General features: G+C 44.3%; 1 annotated feature.

Annotated features, from left to right (window-relative positions):
- Nucleotides 986-2,185: an enhancer, noted in NCBI's record as "CDK7 strongly-dependent group 2 enhancer chrX:46122614-46123813 (GRCh37/hg19 assembly coordinates)". NCBI's record gives its function as "activates an origin of replication core promoter dependent on BRD2, BRD4, P300/CBP, MED14 and CDK7 cofactors, with strong dependence on CDK7, by STARR-seq in HCT116 cells {active_cell/tissue: HCT116}" and the evidence as "EXISTENCE:reporter gene assay evidence [ECO:0000049][PMID:35650434]".

The raw sequence follows: 17,192 nt of genomic DNA on the forward strand, positions 1-17,192 counted from the left end.
CCCTCCCCCTGTGCTGTCAGGCAATAGATGATTTGCTATTTCTTTACCTCCTGTTTTTACCTAATTAGCATTTTAGTGAGCTCTCTTTACTATCTGATTGGTCAGGTGTGAGCTAAGTTGCAAGCCCCGTGTTTAAAGGTGGAAGTGGTCACCTTCCCAGCTAGGCTTAGGGATTCTTAGTCGGCCTGGGAAATCCAGCTAGTCCTGTCTCTCAATATGAGTGCAGAGAGAAGAAAAAGGAATCTGGGTGAGGCCATCAACAGCATGCACTACCTAGCCCCACCCTCATTATCTTTTTCTGTCAAGGGCTAGATGGTAAATACTTTAAGCTTTTGCCAGCCGTATGGTCTTCATCACAAGCACTCTTATTTTAGCACAAAAGCAGCCATAGGCAATATGCAAATGAATGGACAAGGCTGTGTTCCAATACAATTTTATTTACAAGAACAGGCAACTGTAGCTTCTGTCTGTCCTCTTTCAGAGACAAGAAGAGATCTTGGTCTATCACTAGCACCATGTGCAAGGATCAGATACGGACCGTAGGGGGAAAGATCGGGCTTCTAATCACAGCCCTGTGTCTCTGTAGCTCTTTCAGATGCAAGTGCCAGAAACCCAATGAAACAAGAAATTTTCCTTGACCCTTTCGTGGGCCTCGCGACGGGGGTGCCTTACTTCCTCAGTCCGCAGCTCTCAACTCCTCATGGTAGGGGGAGCACGCAGGAGCACCCAGGTGAGTGGGTGCAGGAGCCAGAGCGAGTGATTTTGGGCGCTGGCAGGAGCAAAACTCTGTGCGGCCCCACAGCAGCATCTAGGGGGGTATCTGTGACCCCTGAAGCCCCAGGAGGCTTGTGTTACAGTGCTCTTTTAGCTTGGCCTCCACAGATGGCTTAAGTGTTCAACAGCTCAGTGGACCCTCTGCCTTTTCACAAAGGCAGAGGGTCAGTGTGACAGCTTTCTGTATCCTGAGCTCTTGCCCGGTGTCCAGAAAAAATCGGGTCACACGAACAAATTGAAGGATAGTAAATATGGGGGATTTTATTCTGATGGAAGTGGCTGTCAGCAGGAGGACTAACTGGAAAGGGGGTGGAGTGAGAAGGTATTCCTCCCCTAAAGTCCAGCCAGCCAGACTCTTCTCCAAAGTCCTGCTGTCAAGCTGTCTGTCTGAAGTCAAGCTGTTTCTCTCTGATGTCAAACCACAGTCTCTGATGTCCAGCTGCTTCTCCTCTTCTCCGCTTCTCTGCTCTCTGCCAGTGGAGCCTGGGGTTTTCATGGGCACAGGATGGGGGACCCGCCAGGCCATGGGTGGTTTTGGAAAAGGCAACATTGGAGCGGGAAAACAGGAATGCATGTTCTCACTTTGGGCCACAGTTCTAGGCTTGAGGGTGGGACTTCGCCAGGGACTTCCTCCTTTTCTGCCTAGAATTTTCCTGCCTCCTGTTCCTATCACTAAGTCAAATAAACTCAAGGAAAACGGTAGGGGAAAGGAAGTACTTAGTGACTCAGGTAACCTAACCATGAGTGGACTGACCTCAAGGACAACTATTCCAGGAACTCAAACTCTTTAGGACCTGCCCTCCACTTATCTCAGCATTTTGGCTTTAGTCTCTCCTACTATAGGTGGACTTTATTTCTGCACCAGGGAAGACAGACCTCTGCTAATTCTGGACTCAAACACTGATGGCTCTAGCCCTGGAGAAGAAAGAGGATCTCCTTTATCGAGGGCCAGGTAAAAAGATCCTGTGGAAAAAATTGGATTACATGCCCATCCATGGATGACAGATCACCCCACCCCCGCATCTCGCCACCCCACCCAGTGTGGTCAGGGCAATAGTGTCTGACACAAGAAATATGATGAAGAGAGCCCAGACCTGGCCGCTGGGGAATCATTTTGAACCACAGAGTCTCCCTAAATCATGTTGGTTATAGTAGCCTTGATCTACTGACCTCTGGAATCTGTGTCTTCTCCCCTCTCTCTGTTTGCCTGTGCTGAGATTTTAGTACTCAAAAAGTACAAATACTTTTTGAGCACATACTATGTGCCAGGTACCGTGCTAGGTACTGTGGATTTTGTATGAACAAGACAAAAAAAATGACTGACTTCACTTAACTTCCAGCAGGTGAACCTTGCAAAACCCAGAACAGCCAGCCCTGATCTTTGGTTTTGATGGCGTGAGAAATCACAGAACAAGGTATGTTGCTCTAAATAATAGCCTTCATGGCCGGGCGCGGTGGCTCACGCCTGTAATCCCAGCACTTTGGGAGGCTGAGGCAGGCGGATCACCTGAGGTCGGGAGTTCAAGACCAGCCTGACCAACATGGAGAAACCCCATCTCTACTAAAAATACAAAAAATTAGCCAGGCGTAGTGGCACATGCCTGTAATCCCAGCTACTTGGGAAGCTAAGGCAGGAGAATTGCTTGAACCTGGGAGGCGGAGGTTGTGGTGAGCCAAGATCGCGCCATTGCACTCCAGCCTGGGCAACAAGAGCAAAACTCCACCTCAAAAAAAAAACAAAACAAAAGGATAGTCTCCATTCACTGTCCACTTCTTTTCTCTCATTATCTCTATCCTACTGCAGTGTCTTCCACCATTCCACTGAAACTGCCCTGGAAAAAACCACCAAGAAACTTCTTATTGCCACCAAAAATGCACCATTTTTGTCCTCATTTGTATTGAACTTGGGTGCATTTCATGTTGCTATCTACTGCCTATATTCTAAAACTCTGTCTTTTCTTACCTTTGGTAACATGCACTCTTCTGGCTCTCCTAGATATCTGAATGAGAGGCCAGTTAATTATACTTTTCAATTTTCACTTTTTATACTTTTTTTATAAATAGAAAGTTTTATATTAAAAATTGAATTTTTTAAATAAAGTAATTTAAGGCTAATAAGAAAGCTAAAAAAAAAATCTAGGATTCATGAGAAAAGGAGTATTGATCTAGCTCTAATTCTATCTAACAGTCAGAATAAACTCTCTACATTTCAATAGCCTAATCTCTAAGAAAAGGAGATATTGCTAGATTTAATTGAATAAGCATTGGCTGTACATTCATTCTCTGTACCAAATCACATAGATATATAATACTAGGTATTGGGAGTACAAAGATGATGAAGACCTTACCAATGGCTCAAAGAGCAGTGGTGGAGGGGCAGGACAGATTTTGTAGATGAAATGATAATTGTCCTGAGATCCGAGCAAGTATTCATCAGGCTAACAAAGTGTCATGCTAGACAGAGTCAAAGCAGGCAGATTAGCAATAGCCAAATTTGCTGTGAGTCCCGAGTAGCATCATGGCTGAAGTATAGAGTTTGGAATAGGGAGCAGGGAGCCAGGATGAGGCCAGAAAGAGGAGACAGGAATCAGATCAAGGAAAACCTTACAGGAAATGCAAAATGTGAACTTTTTCTGCAAGCAATGGGGAGGCGGTAGAGCAGGGCTTTCTTAGCCTGGGCTATTAACGTAGTTGACCATCTTTTTGCATATGTTAACCATTTCAAAATCTACTAGATTGCTTATCTTTTTCTCATCAATTGGTAGGGCACTTTAAATATCTAGATCTTAAAAATGTACCTGTTTCCAGTGTTGCAAATATTTTCTCTCAATCTGTCACTTATTTTTTATGCTTGCCTATGTGTCTTTGCAGTATAGAAGTTCTGTAGTTTAATGTAGATACATGCAGTGGTCTTTTACTTTAGTGAATTCAAAGAATTAATTTTGTGTTTTTAAAAGTCCCTCTTCATTCTAAATGTGAAAAATATTATCTTGTCTAATTATTTCATAGTTTTGTTTTTATAGCTAGCTTTATTCTGTCTTGGATTTTACTTTGTGCATGGTGTAAGGTGCACATCAAGCTTATTTTTTCCTCAAAGGAAGAAAGACCTTTCACACCATTGTTTCTTGTGCAGTATATTCTGTCCCATGGTATGAAATGTCATCTTAATCACATTCTAAATCCAGATTTTCCTGTATACATTAATTAACATATGTAAATATGTAAAACATTCAAAAACACCAGAAGCTAAATAAGAAAATGGCCAAAGGACATGAACAGAAAATTAATGGAAGATATATTTAGCTAACCTCCAATCTCAGTAGAAGCTTAAAGTGCTGATTAAAATAATAAAATAAAATTGTTTCTTTCTAAAATCAACAAAATGTCACACTAGGGGTTAAAAATAAACCAAAGTTTCTAAAGGTAAATTTTAATGAACATTCTCATTCTCTGATGTTGAGAATGTAAGTTGGTATAATCTTTCTATTCTTAAATTTATAATTCTCATTAACACAATAAATCATCCTTTAGCAGTGTATCCTTTAAAAAAAAATCAAAGATTGTCAAGGATTTACATAAAGGATGTCCATGTCAGTGATATTTAAAACCAAGACAAATTTAAAGCAACCTAAATGTTCATCAATAGGAATTAGTTAAATTAATTATGATACATGCTTATTAGAGAATATCACACAGTTATTTATTTATTTAGAGATGGTATTTTGCTCTTTTTGCCCAGGCTGGAGTGTAATAGCATGATCTCAGCTCACTGCAACCCCCACCTCCTGGGTTCAAGCTATTTTCCTACGTCAGCTTCCCAAGTAGCTGGGATTACAGGCATGTGCCACTACACCTGGCTAACTTTTTGTATTTTTAGTAGAGATAGGGCTTCACCATGTTGGTCAGCTGGTCTCGAACTCCAGACCTCAGGTGATCCACCTGCCTCGGCCTCCCAAAGTGCTGGGATTACAGGTGTGAGCCCCCATGCCCGGGCCACACAGTTATTTAAAAGGATGCCTTCATAGTGTGATTTTTAAAACAGTTTCAATTAAAAAATGTTTCTGCACAAGACTCAATATACATTTATTAACAATGTCTTGCCAAGCTAATTTCAGTTCTTTTTTGAAGAGTTAACTAGACTAATATATAAGTGGAATTTAACACAACTAAAAGAATATATAAAGCTTCTAATATATAGAGAGAGAGCTCCTGGTACACCTGGTGGATTGTAGTTGCCAGGTACTGAAATATAGAGGTAAATAAAATGTAACCCCTGCCCTCAAAAAAGCACATAATCCAAAGACAGAAGGGAACAGACAAATGAAAAATTATAGTACAATGTTGTAAATGCAAGGAGTATTCAGACTTACCACGTAAGGGAGCAGAGAACAAGTATGAAACTCAACCCAGGGGCATCAGGGTAGAATGACTTAGAACCAGTATATCTGAATCCTGCAATTTTTGAGAAGGACTCTCCCATTCTCTGTATGGATTTGAGTGGAAAATGCTGGAAGAATGGCAAAACAACTTGGTAGGTCCATTGAACAACTTATCTGATAATTAGTCTCTACTAGCATACCTCAGGATGCTGTACTTGACATTCCTCCTTTTTTTGAAAATGTTTTAAATAATTTGGATGAAGACATATAAACATACTTTGATCATTTACAAATGACCCAAAGATGGGAGGACTAGTTAACATAAAAGATGAAGGAATCAAGAATCAAGATATAGCTGGCAAGGCTGAAATGATGGACCTCACTGATAGGATGCAAGTTAACCAGAATGCAAAGTCCCACATTTAATTCAAAGGCTGGGTTAGCCTAGAGTAGGTAGCAGTTTATAGTTTTAAAGACCAATGGGTTTTATTTGATTGCAAGTTCAATACCATCTTAAGGGACACCAATGCATTTCTGTCCAAGACATCAGCTGTGCCTGCATCAGGGCACTCTGTACTGGCTGGACTACACCTGAAACAAAACCACTATCTCCCTTTAAGGAAGGACTGTACCTTGCCAGATCACAGTGAAAACAGGAGAAAACTGAGACTCTTCTGCATGAGAAAGAGAACATGAGAGTCTTCCCCGAATATCTGATGGATCACATTTATTCTGCCTGGCAACATAGGGAACACTTAGGAACTTAACAGGAGACATATTTCTCCACATTGGAGGAAACATTTATGAGCACCTTAGGACAGGTAGCACATCTAAATAATAACATTGTTGAACGTTTACTCTCTGCCATGGAATTTCTCATTTAATCTACACTCAGTTTTATGAGGTCAGGAGTATTGTTATGCCCATATTACACACATAAAATAGATTTACTGAATTAAATTAAAATTAACTCATGCTGCCCATAAATAAAATGGACTGCCCTCAAGGTAGTAACTATCCAGGTTGATGCAGAGGGAATGTAGCACTGAGGCCCTCCCAGTCTAAAATTCTATCATTCTGTGATTAGATGAACTCAAGTTAATATGGGACAAAGTTACCATGTTCAGGAAAAGTATGTGAAAATTTGCTATATCATTATTTTAAAAGGAGCAAGAATGAAAAGTCCTCTTAGCTGGGGCAATTAGTCATGTCTTTAATAGGTAAGCTCAGCTCCATCAACTTGCTGAGTCATCCTGCCACTTGCTTGAACATGGGTGAGTTAGATGCCAAGTTCCACTATCTGGTAGAGCCTAATGGCTCATGTTTCTCCCACATCTAAGCGTTCCTACTTCCTGCTGTGGTGACCCAAGTTTAAATGTTATGACTTTTGCCTCTGTTTCCCTGACTTGCCATCCTATTCCTCACCTGAGACAAAAGTTCTACCTACCATACAGTTGACATCTTTTAGCATTTACTATGATGCTAAGTCCCATGTAACTTTTCCAAAAACCCTATAATAATAGTAAGTAGTATTGCTATTCCTATTTTATAGATGTGGAAACTGAGGTTTAGCATGTCCCTGAAGTACTAACAATTCTACAGGCTGGATCTACGATTCAAACCTAGATCTATCCACTTCCAAATCCATGCTTTTACCCATCATCCCCTGGAGCTAGTTCTCTTGACTAATACCATCATATGTTGTCTAAGTCTTGCCATGCCTAGGGCCATGAATGTATTAATGACTATAATCATGGAGCCTCTTGTCACAGGAATCCTAGGATTTCCCACCACGCAAATTGTCTCAGTGCTGTGCCCCACCAGCTTGATTAGATGCCACTCTTGAGCTGGCAGTGAGCCATCTTAATGTCCCTGAGAGCCCCCATCAAGGCTAAATTGGTTTCTCTTAAGTCCCCTTGCTCCCCTTGATAACGAACAAGGAAGGGGAGAAAATGTGTAAATCAAAAGTGAAATCATCACCTTGAAATATTTCATACCCTTCAAGCTCTTGAGAAATAACCGAATGTGTTCTCACAAATAACTGGGAGACATCAGGATAAAAGTTCATGTGAAGTTTGAAGGAGAGGATGAAGATCCTCCAAGCGCATCAGCAGAAACAGCAAAGAAGTAATAATATATTTTATGCAAGAGTCTATTGGAAAGAGGAAGCATATGGAAGAAGGCAGTAGCAGATTACTAAAAGCAGATGGGAACATTTTTACTTTGTGAAGGAAGTCTATGGAGATCCCAAGTTAGCTAGAGAAACATTCCTATTTTGAGTACAACAAACATCTCAGTCCCATGAACACTGGGCCTAGACCAAGGATTGGCAACATGTGATGGTCACAGTGCCCTGGAAAAAGGATTGGAGAGATAGGCAAAGTAGTTTAGGGGGCTTGCCTCAGCATTAGACATGGTTGCACATCAAGGAGCTGAATGTTTGAGCCCTGGGTAGACTCTATAGTATGTGAAGAAGACCCTTAGCTCTCCTGCCTGTCCCTGGAATACTGGAATTCTGAGAAATTGCCAGTCTTGCACTGTGGAGACATTCCCATACCTACACAAGAGCTTCAGGAGCTGAGGACAGCTACCTATAGTGGGATGCCAGGGCCAACATCAAGGCAATAGCAAAAGGAAATTTTCAGGAAACGGTGTGACTGGCCATGCTCTGTGTGAGCAGCAAGAGAGACTTGCCACTGTGTGTTTCCACCTGAAAAGCTGTAAAATCTGTGGAGAAGGTCTGTGAAGATATTGAAACCAGTCAGTAGAAAGACAAATAAATATAATCATTATTGAATTGTTATAATAAGTGAGTCTATTGCAAACTCATTATGATGGTATAAGCCTATTGACCAACTACATCCTTATTATAGTTATTATAATTACTGGCTCAGTGGAACTATCACCAAACTCCCTAATATAATTTGTTTGGTCTTTTTTTAAATGTTTGTTATAAAGCAGTAAGCCTCATCCTCCTGTGAGATGTATCATGTTATCTGTTACTAATACAAGTTAAATATTAAGATATAGGAATTATTTACTTCTATTACACAGAATCCAAAGTTTTCCCAATAATAATGCTATTAGCACTGTAGCAGACCCTGTTAGTGCCCTACCCAAATCCCCTGAGCCCCACCCCTACAGACTAAAGGCTGCTTACTGTGAATATCTGTGACTCTCTGCTTGAGAGTGTTTTGCTGGCTACCAGAGCATGCAGGGGCTTATGCATGGCAAAATGAAAGTTCTAAAGAATTAATTAACTCCCAATGATGAATGGGAGTTGGAAGATAAATACCCCAGTTTCCTTTCCCTTTGGTTGAGATAACTCTGAGGTGTGTCTTTTACACTAGCCCCAAGAGTTCCCCAGCAGTATTGCACTCCAGTTGCCTATGGTGGTAACTTGCTGGAATACAAACCCTTTGTTGGCTTCCCTCCCTCATATCCCCAATCCTCAGCCAGTGCTTTCTGATATTCTACCCCTCACCCAAATTAATCATTAGCACTCGAATCCTTGTCTCAGGGTCTACTTCTGCTGTAACCCAAGCTAAGACATCTACTAACTCTTTTTTTCTGACATACCTTTTTGGGTGGGAAAGACAGTGGACTGTAGACATTTGTTACCTTCAGTACATCCATGGGAGTATGATATATGTCATTTGTGTCACGGTAGAATAAAGGTTGATAATTGTCATAAAACATGCACCTGACTAGTTGATTGACTGTGACACAAGGTGGCTTCAAGAAGGGATGACAGCTCAGTAAAGAAAGGGCTCCTGGGCCGGGTGCGGTGTGGCTCATGCCTGTAATCCCAGCACTTTGGGAGGCCGAGGCGGGTGGATCACGAGGTCAGGAGTTCAAGACCAGCTTGAACAATATGGTGAAACCCCGTCTCTACTAAAAATACAAAAATTAGCCAGGCGTGGTGGCAGACACCTGTAGTCCCAGCTACTCAGGAGGCTGAGGCAGGAGAATCGCGTGAACCTGGGAGGTGGAGGTTGCAGTGAGCCAAGACTGTGCCACTGCACTCCAGCCTGGGCGACAGAGCTAGAGTCTGTCTCAAAAAAAAAAAAAAGAAAGAAAGAAAGGGCTCCTGGAGAACAGGGCCACACCTCTTATGGTCCCTCCACTCCCAGTCCCAAGTTTCATGAATGTTAGTTTGTAGAAAAAGGCCTGAGAATACCCCTTTATCTCTGAGAGGCACCAGTTGTGAGCATAGAGAGGCAAAGAAAAATTAAGAAGAGTTTCCTTTTTGTGTAAATACAGGGAAACTTTTTCTTTTCTTTCTTTATTAAGATAGGTGAAGCAGCTCAATGTCAACTTCCAGAATGGTAGAGTAAGAACCTCTGAAAATTCGCTCCTCATAAAAGCAAGGAGAACACTAGAAAAAAAGCTGTCAGAAACAACTTTTCAGGACTCTGGAAATTAAAACTTGCAACAATCTTAGGAATGTTTATTCAAGAAAAATGGCTAAATCTTGGTAAGAACAACAAATATTGTAGCCTCTTAACCTATCTTAATCCCATCCCTCTCTCCCCAGCTCCACAGTAGCCTTAAATGCCTTAAAAACTGTAACTACAATGGCTGGGAAATCCAGCAGCCTAGCATCCACTGAAGAGGGCGAAAGAGGTTTGGAGTTGGGCGGGTGCAGTGGCTCAGGCCTGTAATCCCAGCACTTTGGGAGGCTAAGGTGGGTGGATCACGAGGTCAGGAGTTCAAGACCAGCTTGACCAACATGGTGAAACCCCATCTCTCCTAAAAATACAAAAAAAAATACACACAAAAAAAGACATTAGCCAAGCATGGTGGCACACACCTGTAATCCCAGCTACTCAGGAGGCTGAGGCATGAGAATTGCTTGAACCTGGGAGGCGGAGGTTGCAGTGAGCTGAGATTGTGCCAGTGCACTCCAGCCTGGGTGACAGAGTGAGACTCTGTCTCAAAAAAAAAAAAAGAGGTTTGGAGTTTCCCAAAAGATCCAACCCCAGAGAATTATTGCTATTTAACATGTCTGACAGTTCACTAAAAAGTTCCATTCTCAGGCCTCATTTTAATTTGGCATGAGTCAGAGCCTTCTCTGTACAAAAGCCTACTCTGTGCAAATACCCTGTAGGGTATTTGTAAAAACAATAATTGGCAGTTGCATAACATCACAGCTGCCTAAGGTGGTGTTACTAGTTGGAGCCAACAAGAGACTGATCAAAAAATGTAAAAGAAAAAACTGAGGAATTAGATGTTCATAAGGGGCTTTGAGGAGCTCTGACATATTCCAGGGAACCTAAGAGGTCATGTGAATGTGCTGGTCTGTGTGCATGGTCCAGGAAAGACCTCAAAGAGCCCTACACTTAAAACCTAATACAATCTATGTGAGAAAAAGAAAACTAAACTCTCACCTCTGGCTGATCTTGAGGCTCTGCACAAGCAGGAAGAGAAGGCTAAGGCAGAGGTGCAAACCTGCCTGCTGAAACATTCAAAGCATATTCCAACACATATATGGAGCCCTTCAGCAAAGGCTGGGAGACTTATTGGTTCAAGACATTTAAGAGAAACTTCATTCCATTAATAGCTGACCACTATGGTAATTAAGCAGGGACTTCAGTGGCTATACACAACAAAGAATACAGATTTTATAGAATTAGTCCAGGAAAGTTACTAAACACATTACAAATCAATACCTCTTATGACTATAGATGCAAAAATCCTTTAAAAAATACTAGCATGGCCAGGCGCATGGCTCATGTCTGTAATCCCAGCACTTTGGGAGACCGAGGTGGGCGGATCCGAGGTCAGGAGTTTGAGACCAGCCTGGCCAGTATAGTGAAACCCCGCCTCTACTAAAAATACAAAATTAGCTGGGCATGGTGGTGCGTGCCTGTAATCCCAGCTACTTGGGAGGCTGAGGCAGGAGAATCACTTGAACCCAGGAGGTGGGGGTAGCGGTGAGCCAAGATCATGCCATTGCACTGCAGCCTGGGCAACAAGTCTGAAATTCCTTCTCAAAAAAAAAAGAAAAAAAGAAAGAAAAAAAAAAAGAAAAATACTGGCAAACTGGCAAACCGAATCCAACAACATATAAAAAGAATTATATACCATGGCCAAGTGGACTTTATCACAAGAATGCAAGATTGTTTAACATACAAAAATCAACCAATATAACATACCATATTAATAAAATATAGGACAAAAACCACATGATTACATCAATAGATGTTGAAGTACCATTGAGAAAATCCAGCACACTTTCATGATAAAAACACTCAAGAAACTGGGAATAGAAGAGATCTTAACCTGATGTTAGATATGAGTTCTACATTTCTTTTCAAAGAATATGTCAGTATGTTCAATTCTTTGCCTTCTACTTTTAAACTTAACTTCCTCGTAAAGCAACCTTTTCCGATTACCTACTCCACCCTGACTCATTCTGATCACCTGCTCCACCCTAACTCATTACGATCACCTGCTCCACCCTAACTCATTCGGATTACCTGCTACCTGCTCTGCCCTGACTCCCACCAAAGCACTCACCCCGTCATTCTCTTTAAATTAGCCAATCGGAATTAGTTTAGCCTGTGCAGTCTAACCTTAGCCAATAGGGGAAGGGGCCACGTGCATCAGGGATAAGAACCCCTTCCCCTCCCTTGTCCAAGTGTGCACTCACCATTGCTCCATCTGTAAGGGTGCACCCTTCTATAGAAGTAACTTGCCTTGCTGAGAATTAAAAAGAAAATTTTATACTCAAGTGCTATTTCTTTTGTGGCACTGAAACTTTATATATAACACTGAGAAAGGGCATCTACAAAAATTCACAGTGAATATCATACTTAATGATTGAAGACTAAATTCTTTCCCTGTAAAATCAGGAAAAAGGCAAAGATGTCCTTTCTCACCACTTTTATTCAATATTGTAATGGAGGTTATAGCCCTGTCAATTAGACGAGAAAAACAAATAAAAGACATACAGATCAGAAAGGAAGAAGTAAAACTATCTATATTCACAGATGACAAGGTCTTATATAGAGAAGATCATAAGGAATTGACACCAAAATTATTGGAACTAATAAATAAGTTCAGCAAGATACAAGACCAGTATACAAAATCATTTGTACTTCAATATACTCACAATGTATAATTTGACAATGAAATTAAGGGAACAATCATATTTAGAATAGCATCAAAAAGAATAAAAATGTCTCTGCTGAGAAGAGGACCCAGAAAAAAAAAAGAATAAATAGGAATAAATTTAACAAAAGAGGTTACAACATAAAATACAATATAAAAATAAAAAGACAAATGACCCGAGCCTGGATAACGTCTCAAGACCTCATCTCTGCTCTTGCTCTCCCTCTCCCTCTCCCTCTCCCTCTCCCTCTCCCTCTCCCTCTCCCTACGGTCTCCCTCTCTTTCCACGGTCTCCCTCTCATGCGGAGCCGAAGCTGGACTGTACTGCTGCCATCTCGGCTCACTGCAACCTCCCTGCCTGATTCTCCTGCCTCAGCCTGCCGAGTGCCTGTGATTGCAGGCACGCGCCGCCACGCCTGACTGGTTTTGGTGGAGACGGGGTTTCGCTGTGTTGGCCGGGCCGGTCTCCAGCCCCTAACCACAAGTGATCCGCCAGCCTCGGCCTCCCGAGGTGCCGGGATTGCAGACGGAGTCTCGTTCACTCAGTGCTCAATGGTGCCCAGGCTGGAGTGCAGTGGCGTGATCTCGGCTCACTACAACCTACACCTCCCAGCCGCCTGCCTTGGCCTCCCAAAGTGCCGAGATTGCAGCCTCTGCCCGGCCACCACCCCGTCTGGGAAGTGAGGAGTGTCTCTGCCTGGCCGCCCATCGTCTGGGATGTGAGGAGCCCCTCTGCCTGGCTGCCTAGTCTTCAAAGTGAGGAGCGTCTCCGCCCGGCCGCCATCCCATCTAGGAAGTGAGGAGCGCCTCTTCCCGGCCGCCATCACATCTAGGAAGTGAGGAGCATCTCTGCCCGGCCGCCCATCGTCTGAGATGTGGGGAGCGCCTCTGCCCCGCCGCCCCATCTGGGATGTGAGGAGCGCCTCTGCCCGGCCGTGACCCCGTCTGGGAGGTGAGGAGCGTCTTTGCCCGGCCGCCCCATCTGAGGAGTGAGGAGACCCTCTGCCTGGCAACCACCCCTTCTGAGAAGTGAGGAGCCCCTCCGCCCGGCAGCTGCCCTGTCTGAGAAGTGAGGAGCCTCTCCGCCCGGCAGCCACCCCATCTGGGAAGTGAGGAGCGTCTCCGCCCGGCAGCCACCCCGTCCGGGAGGGAGGTGGGGGGGGTCAGCCCCCCGCCCGGCCAGCCGCCCCGTCTGGGAGGGAGGTGGGGGGTCAGCCCCCCGCCCGGCCAGCCGCCCCGTCCGGGAGGGAGGTGGGGGGGTCAGCCCCCCGCCCGGCCAGCCGCCCCGTCTGGGAGGTGAGGGGCGCCTCTGCCCGGCCGCCCCTACTGGGAAGTGAGGAGCCCCTCTGCCCGGCCAGCCACCCCGTCCGGGAGGGAGGTGGGGGGGTCAGCCCCCCGCCCGGCCAGCTGCCCCGTCTGGGAGGGAGGTGGGAGGGTCAGCCCCCCGCCCGGCCAGCCGCCCCATCCGGGAGGTGAGGGGCACCTCTGCCTGGCCGCCCCTACTGGGAAGTGAGGAGCCCCTCTGCCCGGCCAGCCGCCCCGTCCGGGAGGGAGGTGGGGGGGTCAGCCCCCTGCCCGGCCAGCCGCTCCGTCCCGGAGGTGAGGGGCGCCTCTGCCCGGCTGCCCCTACTGGGAAGTGAGGAGCCCCTCTGCCCGGCCACCACCCCGTCTGGGAGGTGTGCCCAACAGCTCATTGAGAACGGGCCAGGATGACAATGGCGGCTTTGTGGAATAGAAAGGCAGGAAAGGTGGGGAAAAGATTGAGAAATCAGTTGGTTGCCGTATCTGTGTAGAAAGAAGTAGACATGGGAGACTTTTCATTTTGTTCTGCACTAAGAAAAATTCTTCTGCCTTGGGATCTTGTTGATCTGTGACCTTACCCCCAACCCTGTGCTCTCTGAAACATGTGCTGTGTCCACTCAGGGTTAAATGGATTAAGGGCGGTGCAAGATGTGCTTTGTTAAACAGATGCTTGAAGGCAGCATGCTCGTTAAGAGTCATCACCACTCCCTAATCTCAAGTAATCAGGGACACAAACACTGCGGAAGGCCACAGGGTCCTCTGCCTAGGAAAACCAGAGACCTTTGTTCACTTGTTTATCTGCTGACCTTCCCTCCACTATTGTCCCATGACCCTGCCAAATCCCCCTCTGTGAGAAACACCCAAGAATTATCAATAAAAAAATAAATTAAAAAAAAAAAAAAAGACAAATGACCCAATTACAAATTGGGCAAAAGTTTGAGTAGACATTTCTCCAAAGACATATAGGCCAATAAACACATATCATTAGTCATTAGACAAATAAAAATCAAAACCATGATGAGATATCACCTCATACCCACTAGGATGGCTATAATCAAAAGGACAGATAAGAACAAGTGTTGACAAGGATGGGGAAAAGTTAGAACCCTCATACGTTGCTGGTGGAAATATAAAATGGTGTAGCCACAGTGAAAAACAGTCTGGCAGTTCCTCAAAAGTGAATCACAGAGTTACCACATGACCCAGCTATTCCACACCTACTTATTTCCCCAAAAGAACTGAAAACATGTCCACACAAAAACTTGTACATGAATGTCTATTACAGCATTTTTCTTTTTTTTTTTTTTTGAGATGGAGTCTCACTCTGTTGTCCAGGCTGGAGTGCAGTGGCGCAATCTCACTCACTGCAACCTCCGCCTCCAGGGTTCAAGCTATTCTCCTGCCTCAGCCTCCCGAGTAGCTGGGACTACAGGCACCTGCCACCACGCCCAGCTAATTTTTGTATTTTTAGTAGAGATGGGGCTTCACCGTGTTAGCCAAGATGGTCTCAATCTCCTGACCTCGTGATCCGCCTGCCTCGGCCTCCCAAAGTGCTGGGATTACAGGCGTGAGCCACTGCACCCGGCAGGGCTGGGGTATTCTTTTCCAGAAATCTCCTAAAACATCGAGCTTCGGTGCAGTTTGTGGGGGCAAATGAGGAGAATGAGCAATCCTGCTTCAGCACGTGTCCCTCGGCATGCCAGATGACAGTGATGAACACCGATGCATATTTATAATTTATAAACTACTTTGAAAATGATTCGGAGAGGAAGTAGCAAAGGTGACATGCCTGCTAAAGGGGAGGAAGTTAAAGGAAAAGATGGCCTCAGGGCCAACTTCATGAGTGTGCCACCTGTGCAGTCACACAGGGCTTCATACTCTAAGGGGTCTTGTGCTTGGTTTAATGCCTTGCTGTTGCTGTCTCGAAGTTCTTAGTAATTTAATCTTCAAACTTGTATCTTGTAAGTGAAGTCTGATGGAACAATGGAGCATGAGCATAAGCAGACAAGATATGAGCAGGATGTGTGTCCACTAGTTCTTGTTGCCTTATTCACATAGAACATTTTAATACCTCATGAGCACAGAACTCCAGTGGAACCATGATGCACCAAGAGTTCGCTGACACTAAAAGTGAATCAACTTAAGGGTGTTACTTCTACAGCTGAGTAAGTAAGGGCACTGACAGTGCAAAAAGCCATGTTACCATTTGAACCAGAATTTTTTTTTCTTTGAGACAGAGTCTTGCTCTGTGGCCCAGGCTGGAGTGCAGTGGTGTGATCTCGGCTCACTGCAACCTCCGCCTCCTGGGCTCAAGCGATTCTCCTGCCTCAGCCTCCAGGGCAGCTAGGATTACAGGTGCCCACCACCACGCCTGGCTAATTTTTGTATTTTTGGTAGAGACCAGATTTCGTCATGTTGGCCAGGCTGGTCTCAAACTCCTGATCTCAAGTGATCCTCCCGCCTCAGCCTCCCAAAGTCCTGGGATTATGGGCGTGAGCCATCGAACCTGGCCTGAACCAAAACTTGCCGAGAAGGTAATGGTGTTCTGGCCAGGTGCTGTGGCTCACGCCTGTAATCCCAGCACTTTGGGAGGCTGAGGCGGGTAGATCACCTGAGGTGGGGAGTTTGAGAGAGCCTGGCCAACATGGCAAAACCCAGGCTGTACTAAAAATGAAAAAATTAGCTGGGTGTGGTGGCCCACGTCTATAATCCTAGCTACTCGGGAGACTGAGGCATGAGAATCGCTTGAACCCAGGAGGCGGAGGTTGCAGTGAGCCGAGATCACGCCACTGCACTCCAGCCTGGGCAACAGAGTGAGACTCCGTCTCAAAAAAAAAAAAAAATTAGAAAGTAATGATGTTCTAAGAAACACAGACAAGAGACCCCATTATATCCTATCTTACCCTTCTTGCTTTCCTTTATTAGCCAACCACTTTCTCTGAAAATGATGGTATAAAAGGAAACAGAAAATAGGCCAACTCATAGTTCCTTTTCCTTTCAGTTTAACCTTATTCATCAGTAAGCCAAAGGTAGGGAGTGTTGGTAGCATGTGTGCATATCAAGATGTGAAATAAAAGTATTTGGCTTTGTTCTGTGTAGTGTTTTCCACTGTTCTGGTAAGAATGAAATACATATCCGTGTGACCTACAAAATACTAATTGCATAATTTTGGTGATTCTGCATATGGGTTAAATGCTCTTATATTTTGATTTAAAAGTAGCACTGGGTAACATAAAAATAAATGACCCAATTCATGCTAATAATTCAAATTTTTAACTTTTCTTTACTTAGAACCACATTAGCAAATAAAAGACATAATGACTAGTTGTGAAAAAGAGATCACGGAAGAAAGGATAAAGCTTCACATTTTATTACCGCTAATGTACTTTGTTACTGCGTTTTGAACAAGGAGTCCTGCATTTTTATTTTGCACTGGGCCCTGCAATTTATGTAATTGGAGATTGCCTTGATATCTGCATTTGTGGTTTTCAAAAAGTCTGCCACTTCACAAGCCCACACTTTATGTTGGAGTCATTGTGTGGGTGTAAATTGTGTGAGTAGGTGTGTGTTAGCAGGGTTGGAGTGAGGAGGGGAAAGCGCTGGAGAGCAGGCGACAGTGGC

The sequence above is a fragment of the Homo sapiens genome, chromosome X (genome assembly GCF_000001405.40).
Source record: "Homo sapiens chromosome X, GRCh38.p14 Primary Assembly".
NCBI lineage: Eukaryota > Metazoa > Chordata > Mammalia > Primates > Hominidae > Homo > Homo sapiens.